Source organism: Homo sapiens, chromosome 15, assembly GCF_000001405.40.
Source record: "Homo sapiens chromosome 15, GRCh38.p14 Primary Assembly".
NCBI classification, from domain to species: Eukaryota; Metazoa; Chordata; class Mammalia; order Primates; family Hominidae; genus Homo; species Homo sapiens.
Genome location: NC_000015.10, coordinates 44,255,090 through 44,269,408, shown reverse-complemented (window position 1 = coordinate 44,269,408; position 14,319 = coordinate 44,255,090). Strand labels below are relative to the sequence as shown.

The 14,319-nt window shown below is 41.1% G+C and overlaps 1 annotated feature.

The window, feature by feature from the left end:
• Positions 7,288 to 7,493: a silencer, noted in NCBI's record as "fragment chr15:44554114-44554319 (GRCh37/hg19 assembly coordinates)". NCBI's record gives its function as "represses an EF-1alpha promoter that drives an FKBP-Casp9 reporter gene in an ReSE screen in K562 erythroleukemia cells {active_cell/tissue: K562}" and the evidence as "EXISTENCE:reporter gene assay evidence [ECO:0000049][PMID:32094911]".

Sequence of the window (14,319 nt, the reverse complement as noted above, 5' to 3'; positions counted from 1 at the left end):
TTTTTGTGATTGGATTATTTCACTTAGCATAATGTGTTTGAGCTTCATCTATGTTTTTAGCATGTATCAATACTTCATTACTATTTTTTTTTTTTTTTTTTTGAGACAGAGTCTTTCTCTGTCACCCAGGCTGGAGTGCAATGTCGCGATCTTGGCTCACCGCAACCTCCGCTTCCCGAGTTCAAGCGATTCTCCTGCCTCAGCCTCCTGAGTACTTGGGATTACAGGCGCCCGCCACCACGCCTGGCTAATTTGTGTGTGTGTGTGTGTGTGTGTGTGTTTTTAGTAGAGATGGGGTTTCACTGTGTTTGCCAGGATGGTCTCAATCTCCTGACCTCATGATCCGCCAGCCTTGGCCTCCCAAAGTGCTGAGATTACAGACGTGAGCCACCACGCTTGGCCAATGCAAGTCTTTTCTTTTTTTTTTTTTTTGAGACGGAGTCTCGCTCTGTCGCCCAGGCCGGACTGCGGACTGCGGACTGCAGTGGCGCAATCTCGGCTCACTGCAAGCTCCGCTTCCCGGGTTCACGCCATTCTCCTGCCTCAGCCTCCCGAGTAGCTGGGACTACAGGCGCCAGCCACCGCGCCCGGCTAATTTTTTTTGTATTTTTTTTTAGTAGAGACGGGGTTTCACCTTGTTAGCCAGGATGGTCTCGATCTCCTGACCTCAAGATCCACCCGCCTCGGCCTCCCAAAGTGCTGGAATTACAGGCGTGAGCCACCACGCTTGGCCAATGCAAGTCTTTTCAAAGAATTTATTACTCTTGACTTGTGCACAAGTCATGGCCTTTATTTTCTAGCTCTGCAAATTACTGTTGTTAACCCAGCACTTATATACCTGCTTATCACTTTTATTATCTGTTTTAATAATAGAGATCACAGAAAAGTGAAATGCAATGCAAAACAAATCCCAGCCCAGTTTGCAAACACCAAGCATGAGCAAGAGGCCAAGTGAGCTGCCAGCCTCTCATTCAACCTTATGTTCCTAGTGCAACAAGCAGCAGCAGTTCTGTATCACAGTGATGTTATAGAACCTGTAGCCAGTCTAGGCCCTGTGATTCATGTTCCCTACATATCTGATTGTATCTAGTTTGCAATGTGAAAATCCACTGTAGAAGAAATGTCTGTAAGTGTAAGTTGCTATGGAAACGTGGAGAAAGAAATACTTAATTCCTTCTTGGAGGTACCAGGGGGATTGAAGTTCAGGGAAGGTTGCCCATTTGATCTGAGTTTTGAGTAAGGAGAGAATGTGTTCGTAGGTATACAAGGGGGGACAGGCACATCCAGGTGAGGATACATCATGAAGAAACAGGAAACATTGCTGTGGAAGTTTAGAGAATGGAAATTTGTCTGTCATGGCTGAAACAAGGTTTTTTGAAAGCCAATTTTCAAATAAGTTTTAAAATAATGTAAATGTACATCTATTCTATTGTGTAGAACTAGTATATCTTATATCCTAAGAACAGGCATTGCTATTCCTCAATCACTTCTCAATGACTTATTTAGATAATTTTACTCACATTAATCTGCATTAATTTTCTTCCCATTAGCCATTTTTCTCTAAGAGTTACTATAATTTACAAAAGGTACTGGCAGTCTGTGATAAAAATATATATCCACGTACAGTCATTCACGTGGCTTGGGGGCTGAAAACTGAGCTCTAAGCAGGATATCTAGATGTTGGCATGTCCTTCAAGGAACTCCATGAACCTGGGCAAGTTGCTCAACTTGTTTTGACCTCAACATTTTTTATGGGTAAAACAAGATGATCTCTAAGATCCCTTCGACTATAATGGTCCTTTCAGATGGTGAATTGTGAACTAAGCAGCCTAATGTCCTATCTGGCTAGGAGATTTGCCTTACATGCCTGGAACAAGACAGAAATTAAAATATTTATGTCCTAAGAAAGGGTCTCTCAGGTAGAGACCCCTAGACAATGATGGGGCAAGGCAAATAACCTCACACTTAAGTACATGATAAACTGCTGCCCATGCTAATCTGTCATTAAAGTTTGGTTAAATTAGAATCAGAAATTTGTAGACATGAGCAGTGCTATTTTGTTGTTGTTGTTGTTTTGAGGCAGGGTCTTGCTCTGTCACCCAGGCTGGAGTGCAGTGGTGTGATCACAACTCACTGCAGCCTCAATCTCCTGGGCTCAAGTGATCCTCCCACCTCAGCCTCTCAACTAGGTTGGACTACAGGTGTGCACCACCATGCCCAGTTAATGTTTTTTTTAAAAAAAAATTTAGAGATAGGGTCTCAATATGTTGCCCAGGCTAGTTTTGAACTCTTGGCCTCAAGTGATACTCCTGTCTTGGCCTCCCAAAGTATTGGGATTACAGGTATAAGCCACCACAATTGGCCACTATGCTTTTTTAAAAATTGTAGTAAAAGGCCAGGCACGGTGGCTCACGCCTGTAATTCCAGCACTTTGGGACGCCAAGGTGGGCGGATCACTAGGTCAGGAGTTCAAGACCAGCCTGGCCAACATGGTGAAACCCTGTCTTTACTAAAAATATAAAAATTAGCTGGGTGTGGTGGTGTGCACCTGTAATCCCAGCTACTTGGGAGGCTGAGGCAGGAGAATCGCTTGAACCCAGGAGGCGGAGGCTGCAGTGAGCCAAGACTGTAACACTGCACCCTAGCCTGGGCGACAGAGTGAGACTCAGTCTCAAAAAAGAAAATATTGTAGTAAAATACACAGAACATGAAGTTTACCATTTTAACCATTTTTAGGTGTACAATTCAGTTGTATTATGTACATTCACAATATTGTGTAATCATCATCACTAACTATAAATGCTATGCTTTCGTGTTTTGTTTTTCCTCCCTTAGTTTCCTTAGATAATGTTATTTTAAATAAATCTTCTCCCTCAGCTGAATGAAAAGAAAAGAAACTTTTTCGCTTGGGCATGGTGGCTCACGCCTGTATTCCCAGCACTTTGGGAGGCCGAGGTGGGTGGATCACGAGGTCAGGAGATCGAGACCATCCTAACTAACACGGTGAAACCCCGTCTCTACTAAAAATACAAAAAATTAGCCAGGCGTGGTGGCGGGCACCTGTAGTCCCAGCTACTTGGGAGGCTGAAGCAGGAGAATGGCGTGAACCCGGGAGGCGGAGCTTGCAGTGAGCCGAGATAGCACCACTGCACTCCAGCCTGGGCGACAGAGTGAGACTCTGTCTCAAAAAAAAAAAAAAAAGAAAAGGAAAGAAAAAAAACTTTTTCATATCGCCATTACAGTTTTTCTTTTTCTTTCTTTCTTTCTTTTTTTTTTTAAGAGGCAGGGGTCTCACTATGTTGCCCAAGCTGGATTCAAACTCCTGGACCTATGCAATCCTCCATCCTGAGCCTCCAGAGTAGCTGGGACTATGGCATGTGCCAGTGCATCAGGCTACAGTGGTTCTTAACTTGGAGATCCTTTTCCCCCTCAGGGGACTTTTGGCAATGTCTGGATACTATTGACATCTAGTGGGTATAGGCTAGCAATGTTGCTAAACATCCTACAATGTACAAAACAGTTGCCCACTCGCCCCCCGCACAACAAAGAATTATCTAGCCCCAAATGTCATTAGTGTTGCTTTTGTGATTCCTTGCTCTTTCAGAATCAGTCTGGGGCTCTATGCCTCTCTCTCTCAGCAATGGAGAGGCATGGTGGTAATAAGATTGGAAAAGTTTTGAAACCCAAGGAAATACAGCAAGACCCAGGCAGATAAAGAGAAGAAACCAAATAAGGATGAACTGTGAACATTAATTCCTTTTCTCCTAGTGATCCCCTCATTGTGTTGCTCTCTAATTCTATGTTAGTGGTCATTTTATAACTGTTCCTGTAGTACAATACTTATCAACAGCATGACTACAATGGTGAAAGGACAGGACCAAGATGCAAGAGGCCCAAACAGTGAAAGGCAGTGTTTAATTACTTCTTCATTTGGAATGAGTTATTTCTAAGAAGCAGTCTTCTCTTGAAATTTGACTTCTATTGTACCTTGATCATTGGCATCTGACCCTCAGTTTCCTGGATATGCTAGTAATATGTCTGGTCCTGATTGTGGATTGTTTGCAATCTTTTTCCAAGAGGAATATTAGTTTGGTTAGTAGTCTCAGTGGAACTTCCTAGCAGAAAAAAATAAGCAGTAATTCCTCTTCTAACTTCACTCTTGGCCGGGTGTGGTGGCTCACACCTGTAATCCCAGGACTTTGGGAGGCCAAGGTAGGAGGATCGCTTGATGTCAGGAGACCAGCCTGGGCAACATGGCAAAATCCTGTCTCTACTAAAAATACAAAAATTAGCTGGGCATGGTGGTGTATGCCTGTGGTCCCAGCTACTTGGGAGGCAGAGGTAGAAGGATCGCTTGAGCCCAGGGTGGAGTTTTTTGTTTGTTATGGTAGTTTGTTTGTTTTTTAATTTTTATTTATTTATTTACTTTTATACACATGAGCCACCACGCCAGGCCAATTAGACCAGTTTTTAAATTTTAAGAGTTTGACTGCTCATTTTAAGACTATAAGTCATTTTGACACAGACCTATGTTAGAAATGAGCTGAATTGTCCTAAGACCTAAATATGGGGAAATGGCCAGGTTGTTAAGTTCCGTACTTAAATGTTTTATGAAGTCTCAAATGATTGCTGCTAAGAGAGGATCCTAACTTTTGATCCAATGAGAAATAATTTGCTCATGGAATGAGGAACAGAGATAACAGAGTGGGGAGGTTCCCAGGATGCGGCTTGCCTTTCCTCCCTCCCCGCCCAACAAAAGAACAGAGGTAGCTATACCAGCACTTCCCAAATTGTGCTCCATGGGACAATAATGCCTACAAAGTCAGCAAGTGTTAAGACAAAAATTGGGGGGGTGGTGGGGTTAAAACCAGGATGCAAACTAATTATTAGGTTCCCTAAGTGAAAATGTCAGTGCTCCAAGAAGCAGACATCAATTAGAATGCTTTTTCAACATAGTTTCCTTATTTTTCACTCAAGGTAACATTCAGTAATTACTGGATATTTCCTGCACTGGCTTATCAGCCATCTGCTCCTGGTAATCTTGCCCCTAGAATTTTGTCAAAGTTCCAACCAGAAACAGAGATTGACCCTGCCCGTCTCAGTAAGACCTGACCTGATTTCTGCTCCCTGCTCCCCAGGTTATCTGCCTTCTTCTCGTTTAATCAAGAAGATTGATAGGCTGGGCGTGGTGGCTCAAACCGGTAATCCCAGCATTTTGGGAGTCTGAGGCAGGCGAATTACTTGAGTTCACGAGTGAGACCAGACTGGGCAACATCTATTAAAAATACAAAAACTTAGCTGAGCGTGGTGGCAGGTGCCTGTAGTCTCACCTACTCGGGTGGCAGAGGTGGGAGGATCACTTGAACCGGGAGGCAGAGGTTGCAGTGAGCTGAGATCGTGCTGCTGCACTGCAGCCTGGGCAACACAGCCAGACCCTGTCTCCAGAAAAAAAAAAAAAGATTGATAGTGAAGACATCCAATTATAACTTTTTCTTTCTCATTTGGAGCGCTAAAAGGTAAGCATCTTCTCGTCTCCACTAGAAATATTATAAGGTGGTAAGCGTTTTTGTAATGTAGTATATTTGATATGCTCTTTCCTTTCCTCTGATATAATTTATATGCTTTATGTTGTGGAAAAAGAACAACTTAAGGTTGTTCTTAACCTAAACTTAATACGTTATTTTCGCAGTGACTGCTTAGCTCTGCAAGTGATGTTCAGGATGTTCACATATTCACAGGCATGTGGTCACAGACTCACCCTGCTATTCAACACCTACAGAGTTAATAGGTTTCCTTATACATGAATATTCATAGCAGCATTATTCGTAATAGCCAAAAGGTGGAAACAAATTAAATGTTTTCTAACTGAATATTTAACAAAATGTGGCATATCTATATACTGGAATATTATTTGGCAATAAAGAACAATGTGGTCTGGATTTCATATTATTAAAGTCAATGTTGGCCAGGTGCAGTGGCTCACGACTGTAATCCCAGCACTTTGGGAGGCCAAGGCAGGTGGATCACAAGGTCAGCAGTTCGAGACCAGCCTGGCCAACATAGTGAAACCCCGTATCTACTAAAAATACGAAAAAAAAAAAAATTAGCCGGGCATGGTGGCAGTCTCTTGTAATCCCAGCTACTTGGGAGGCTGAGGCAGGAGAGTCACTTGAACTTGGGAGGCAGAGATTGCAGTTAGCCGAGATCATGCCACTGCACTCCAGCCTGGGTGAGAGAGCAAGACTCCATCTCAAAATAAAATAAAGTCAATGTTAATAAGATTTTAAAAGTTATTTTTTTGGAATGTAAGCGCTTGGAAAACTTAAAGGCCAGAAATGATAACAGTAATGGGAAAGCTCCAGAGTGTGAAGTTAAAGGGCCATGAGAAGGGTTCAGGCTTGTTTTTGTTCATTTTGATCAACCAATCTGTTATTATTATTATTATCATTATTATTTGAGATGAAGTCTCGCTCTGTCTCCCAGACTGGAGTGCAGTGGTGCAATCTTGGCTGACTGCAACCTCCGCCTCCTGGATTCAAGCGATTCTGCTGCCTCAGCTTCCTGAGTAGCTGGGATTACAGGTGTGTGCAACCATGCCCAGCCAATTTTTATATTTTTAGTAGAGATGGGGTTTCATCATCTGGCAAGGCTGGTCTTGAACTCCTGACCTTGTGATCCACCCTCCTCGGCCTCCCAAAGTGCTGGGATTACAGGCATGACCCACTGTGTCTGGCCCCAATCTGTTATTTTTTTTATTATTATTTTTTGAGACGGAGTCTCGCTCTGTCGCCCAGGCTGGGGTGCAGTGGTGCGATCTCGGCTCACTGCAAGCTCTGCCTCCTGGGTTCACGCCACTCTCCTGCCTCAGCGTCCCAAGTAGCTGGGACCACAGGCGCTTGCTACCACGCCCGGCTAATATTTTGTATTTTTAGTAGAGATGGGATTTCACCGTGTTAGCCAGGATAGTCTCGATCTCCTGACCTCGTGATCCGCCCACCTCAGCCTCCCAAAGTGCTGGGATTATAGGCGTGAGCCACCGTGCCTGGCCCCCAATCTGTTATTTTTAAGCCACAATAACAAAAACGTCTTTATTGCTGCCATTACTGAAAAAAAGAACTTTATTATTTTTTCTTATATCTCAATTCTTCCCATTGAGACCATCAACTTTTAAATGCAATTTTTAAATAATGTGTGTTTTTTTTTTTTTTTTTTTTTGAGACAGAGTCTCACTCTGTCTTGCCCAGGCTGGAGTGCAGTAGTGTGATCTTGGCTCACTGCAAACTCTGCCACCCGAGTTCAAGTGATTCTCCTGCCTCAGCCTCCCTAGTAGCTGGGATTACAGGAACCTGCTACCGCACCTGGCTAATTTTTGTAGTTTTAGTAGAGACGGGGTTTCACCATCTTGGCCAGGCTGGTCTTGAACTCCTGACCTCGTGATCCGCCCACCTCAGCCTCCCAAAGTGCTGGGATTACAGGCATGAGCCACTGCGCCCAGCTGATAACGTGATGTTTTAAACCCAAGTTGTGCAAATAACACAACAGTGCCTTTATTTGCTGCTTATTGAATTCTACCTTGTAATACTTTATCTCTCAGATTGTAAGCTTATTGAAGACAGGAATCATACCATTCATCTTCATATTTCATTTCTCCCTTGGCTTCAGAAAAAGACTACCATGTCTAACACATAGGCACTGAATACCTTTTTTTTCTTCAGTGAAATTGAATGGGAATTTTAAAATTATGATCTTTTTTAAACCTTTTTTATTGTGAAATCAGCAAGGCAGAAAAGAGCACAATACAAAAATGTATAGCTCAACAAATTATCCACAAAGCAACATCCATGTAGCTATTACTCAGCTCAATAAAAACATTACCAGCAACCCTCTCTCAATCACTATCCCCTTTGTTCTCCCAAAGGTAACTATTATCTTGACTTTTGTAAACACATACTCTTAAATACTGTAGGTTAGTCTGGCCTGGTTTTTAAAACTTACTACAAATGGAATAACACTGAACAGGAAGAGAAAACCTTGAAATATTCAGAGCTGAAAATGATTAAGGTGAGTATTTTTTAGATGCCTGCCCCCCGCCACATTTTCTCTCCCTCTCTACCTGCCCCAGAAAAAGGAAGCCCTAATTCCTTAGTTCTCTAAACCTGCTCATCCAAGAGGCAGTTACCCTAGAGGAGCCGCCTGCTGGAGCATCCCGCCCAACACATTGCCGTGTGAAGAGCTCCCCTGCTGCTACTGACTCCGGATGACTGGGATCCATCAGGAAACTCCGTCCAAGGGCACTAATTGTGCATGTGTTCTTTTGTATCTCAGATTCACCTATAATGAATCCATAATGTTGTAAATAGATTTGTACCTAAAATTCATCCATAATCATCCATAATGTTGCATATAGATTTAGCCTGCTCATTTCCATTGCTGTATGTCATTCCATTGTATGAACACATCACACTACGTATTTACTCGTTCTTTTTTTTTTTTTTTTTTTTTTTTTTTCAGATGAGGTCTCGCTCTGTCGGCCCAGGCTCCAGTGCAGTGGTGTGATCTCGGCTCACTGCAAGCTCCGCCTCCTGGGTTCAAGCCATTCTCCTGCCTCAGCCTCCTGAGTAGCTGGAACTACAGGCGCCTGCCACCACGCCTGGCTAAGTTTTTGTATTTTTAGTAGAGACAGGGTTTCACCGTGTTAGCCAGGATGGTCACCATCTCCTGACCTCATGAACCACCCGCCTCGGCCTCCCAAAGTGCTGGGATTACAGGCATGAGCCACTGTGCCTGGCCTCATATTTATTCATTGTACTGTCGATGCCATATTTAGGTTATTTCCAGTTTGGAACGATTACAAATAACATCTCCATGAACATTTATATATATGTCTCTTGATATATATGTGTTGACTTTTGTACTGGATACCTGAGGGTGGAATTGCTGGAATTGCTGGATCACTGAGTATGCACCTTCCACCTTAGTAGAGAAAGTCAAGCTGTTGTTGTATCACTCCTGCCAGCAGTGTATGAGAGTTCCCAGTGCTTCACACCCTTGCCAACAGTTATTATTGTAGTCTGTTTAATTTTAGCTTTTCTGGGGGATATACAGTATTATCCAATTGTGGGTTTTTGTTTGTTTGTTTTGTTTTGTTTTTTTAGAGACAGAGTCTTGCTCTGTTGCCCAGGCTGGAGTGCAGTAGCAGGATCACAGCTCACTACAGCTTCAAACTCCTGGGCAGAATTGAGCCTCCCACATCAGCCTCCCAAGTAACTGGCACTGCAGGTACATGCCACCCTACCTGGCTAATTTTTATTTTTTTTCGTAGAGACAGAGTCTGACTATGTTGCCCAGGCTGGTCTTTTTATTTTCCTTTAATTTTTATTTATTTATTTATTTATTTATTTATTTTTAGAGATGGGTTTTCACCTTGTTGCCCAGGCTGGTCTTGAACTCCTGGGCTGAAGCAACCCTTCAGCCTCGGCCTCCCACAGTGCTGGGATTACAGGCATGAGCCACCATGCTCAGCCCCAATTGTGGTTTTAATTTACATTTTCCTGATCACTAATGAGATTGGGCAATTTTCATATGTTTATTGGCTATTTGATATCCTCTTTTGAAATGCCTGTTCAAGTCTCTTGCCTGTTTTTCAATTGAGTTGTTCATCTTTTTGTTATTGATTTCCAGTAGTTCTTCATACAGTATACTCTGGATACAAGCCTTTGGTCAGTTGTATATGTCGTAAATTTCCTCTCCTTTTTGTAGCTTGTCTTTTCATTCTCTATATAGTCTTTTGAAGAAGAGAAATTCTTGATTATAACACAGTCAAATTCATCAACTTTTTAATATGTTCCCTGTTTTAGAATGCTTTCCCTACACCAAGATCATAAAGGTATTCTGTATTATCCTCTAGAAATTGTATGTTTTTCCTTTCAAATTTAGATCTACAATCTACATTGGATTGTCTTTTATATATGATGTGAGTTAAAGGTTGTTTCTTTTTTTCTTCCCAAGATTCTTTTTCAAATATCATAGTGTCATTTATTGAAAAGACTGTTCTTTCTCCACTGCTCTGCAGCACCATCTTTGTTAAGAATCAAATGTTGATCAATATATGAGCCATTTCATTCTATTTGTCTATCCTTGTACCGACATCACACTGTCTTAATTGCTATAGCTTTATACCATGTCTTTATATCCAAGAGAACAAGTGCTCCATTCCAGTTCTTCTTCAGTTTGGGTCTTGGCTATTTGCATTTCTGTATAATTTTTAGAATTAACATGTCAAGTGGAACTTTCATTTTTCTCTCCTAGTGCTGACTTTCAGCAGCTAAATTTCTGTGGGACTATAGTTATTTAGAACTTTAATGACAATAGCACTTTGAAAGGACATGATATAGTGGGAAAAACATGGGCCGTGCTATCAGACTTGAGGTTGAATTTACTCCTACCATTCTCTGTTACTGTGGGACATGAGAATGGTACAGGCTTGTTTTTATCTATTTTGATCAATTTTTAGGCCACAATAACAGAAACATCTTTATTACTGAAATTAGGGAAGAAAAATAACTTTGTTATTGCAAATATGAGACTATCTTCTTCCCATTGAGACAGTCACTTTTATAAGCACAAGTTAATTAGCTTCCCTAAATTCAGGCTTATCAGTTTGTAAAATGGGGATAAAAATAATTACTTTATGAGGAATGAACCTTTGTAAATGTGCTTAGCACAGAAAAGGAACTTGATAATGGTGGTCCTTATATCTGTTCTTTCTTGGCTTGTCTAGCGTGTTTTCCTACACCCTTCTCAGTTGACTGGGAGCAATGGCAGGTCTGAGATGCTAGAAGTTTTTGATAATAAGAGCCTAATTTTCAGAAATTCATATTATCTAAACTGGGAGAGATTGGGGTACATTAGATACATATTATCTAAACTGGGAGAGATTGGGGTAAAAATTATGTATATGAATACATTCTTTATAAATGTTTTATAAATTATGATGCACATTTTAAATTTCACCATTATTCTTCTCTTCCTCCTCCTTTAATATTAGTTATAAATCATACAGAGTATAGGTTTTGTTTCTATAATGCTCAGTGCAATAAAAAGTCAGGCTTGTGACTGGATTGTTAAAATTCAGCACTGCACGGGTTTGTTGGCATCATGATAAATATTTCTTAGTCCAGTTCAGAAATGTGTCAAAGCTATCATGACATGTATCAGACATGTCATGATATGACATGACATGCAGCAGACAATGTATCAGTCAGCTCTGGGCATCATTACCCACTTATCATAACTGTAACTTGTGCCTCATCTTTTTAACTTTACATGAATGCATTTTTTTTTTTTTTTTGGAATAATGTTTTTTTTTTTATTATACTTTAAGTTTTAGGGTACATGTGCACATTGTGCAGGTTAGTTACATATGTATACATGTGCCATGCTGGTGCGCTGCACCCACTAACGTGTCATCTAGCATTAGGTATATCTCCCAATGCTATCCCTCCCCCCTCCCCCGACCCCACCACAGTCCCCAGAGTGTGATATTCCCCTTCCTGTGTCCATGTGATCTCATTGTTCAATTCCCACCTATGAGTGAGAATATGCGGTGTTTGGTTTTTTGTTCTTGCGATAGTTTACTGAGAATGATGGTTTCCAATTTCATCCATGTCCCTACAAAGGACATGAACTCATCATTTTTTATGGCTGCATAGTATTCCATGGTGTATATGTGCCACATTTTCTTAATCCAGTCTATCATTGTTGGACATTTGGGTTGGTTCCAAGTCTTTGCTATTGTGAATAATGCCGCAATAAGCATACGTGTGCATGTGTCTTTATAGCAGCATGATTTATAGTCATTTGGGTATATACCCAGTAATGGGATGGCTGGGTCAAATGGTATTTCTAGTTCTAGATCCCTGAGGAATCGCCACACTGACTTCCACAATAGTTGAACTAGTTTACAGTCCCACCAACAGTGTAAAAGTGTTCCTATTTCTCCACATCCTCTCCAGCACCTGTTGTTTCCTGACTTTTTAATGATTGCCATTCTAACTGGTGTGAGATGATATCTCATAGTGGTTTTGATTTGCATTTCTCTGATGGCCAGTGATGATGAGCATTTTTTCATGTGTTTTTTGGCTGCATAAATGTCTTCTTTTGAGAAGTATCTGTTCATGTCCTTCGCCCACTTTTTGATGGGGTTGTTTGTTTTTTTCTTGTAAATTTGTTTGAGTTCATTGTAGATTCTGGATATTAGCCCTTTGTCAGATGAGTAGGTTGCGAAAATTTTCTCCCATGTTGTAGGTTGCCTGTTCACTCTGATGGTAGTTTCTTTTGCTGTGCAGAAGCTCTTTAGTTTAATTAGATCCCATTTGTCAATTTTGGCTTTTGTTGCCATTGCTTTTGGTGTTTTGGACATGAAGTCCTTGCCCGTGCCTATGTCCTGAATGGTAATGCCTAGGTTTTCTTCTAGGGTTTTTATGGTTTTAGGTCTAACGTTTAAGTCTTTAATCCATCTTGAATTGATTTTTGTATAAGGTGTAAGGAAGGGATCCAGTTTCAGCTCTCTACATATGGCTAGCCAGTTTTCCCAGCACCATTTATTAAATAGGGAATCCTTTCCCCATTGCTTGTTTTTCTCAGGTTTGTCAAAGATCAGATAGTTGTAGATATGCGGCATTATTTCTGAGGGCTCTGTTCTGTTCCATTGATCTCTATCTCTGTTTTGGTATCAGTACCATGCTGTTTTGGTTACTGTAGCCTTGTAGTATAGTTTGAAGTCAGGTAGTGTGATGCCTCCAGCTTTGTTCTTTTGGCTTAGGATTGACTTGGCGATGCGGGCTCTTTTTTGGTTCCATATGAACTTTAAAGTAGTTTTTTCCAATTCTGTGAAGAAAGTCATTGGTAGCTTGATGGGGATGGCATTGAATCTGTAAATTACCTTGGGCAGTATGGCCATTTTCACGATATTGATTCTTCCTACCCATGAGCATGGAATGTTCTTCCATTTGTTTGTGTCCTCTTTTATTTCCTTGAGCAGTGGTTTGTAGTTCTCCTTGAAGAGGTCCTTCACATCCCTTGTAAGTTGGATTCCTAGGTATTTTATTCTCTTTGAAGCAATTGTGAATGGGAGTTCACTCATGATTTGGCTCTCTGTTTGTCTGTTGTTGGTGTATAAGAATGCTTGTGATTTTTGTACATTGATTTTGTATCCTGAGACTTTGCTGAAGTTGCTTATCAGCTTAAGGAGATTTTGGGCTGAGACGATGGGGTTTTCTAGATAAACAATCATGTCGTCTGCAAACAGGGACAATTTGACTTCCTCTTTTCCTAATTGAATACCCTTTATTTCCTTCTCCTGCCTGATTGCCCTGGCCAGAACTTCCAACACTATGTTGAATAGGAGCGGTGAGAGAGGGCATCCCTGTCTTATGCCAGTTTTCAAAGGGAATGCTTCCAGTTTTTGCCCATTCAGTATGATATTGGCTGTGGGTTTGTCATAGATAGCTCTTATTATTTTGAAATACATCCCATCAATACCTAATTTATTGAGAGTTTTTAGCATGAAGGGTTGTTGAATTTTGTCAAAGGCTTTTTCTGCATCTATTGAGATAATCATGTGGTTTTTGTCTTTGGCTCTGTTTATATGCTGGATTACATTTATTGATTTGCATATATTGAACCAGCCTTGCATCCCAGGGATGAAGCCCACTTGATCATGGTGGATAAGCTTTTTGATGTGCTGCTGGATTCGGTTTGCCAGTATTTTATTGAGGATTTTTGCATCAATGTTCATCAAGGATATTGGTCTAAAATTCTCTTTTTTGGTTGTGTCTCTGCCCGGCTTTGGTATCAGAATGATGCTGGCCTCATAAAATGAGTTAGGGAGGATTCCCTCTTTTTCTATTGATTGGAATAGTTTCAGAAGGAATGGTACCAGTTCCTCCTTGTACCTCTGGTAGAATTCGGCTGTGAATCCATCTGGTCCTGGACTCTTTTTGGTTGGTAAACTATTGATTATTGCCACAATTTCAGAGCCTGTTATTGGTCTATTCAGAGATTCAACTTCTTCCTGGTTTAGTCTTGGGAGAGTGTATGTGTCGAGGAATGTATCCATTTCTTCTAGATTTTCTAGTTTATTTGCGTAGAGGTGTTTGTAGTATTCTCTGATGGTAGTTTGTATTTCTGTGGGATCGGTGGTGATATCCCCTTTATCATTTTTTATTGTGTCTATTTGATTCTTCTCTCTTTTTTTCTTTATTAGTCTTGCTAGCGGTCTATCAATTTTGTTGATCCTTTCAAAAAACCAGCTCCTGG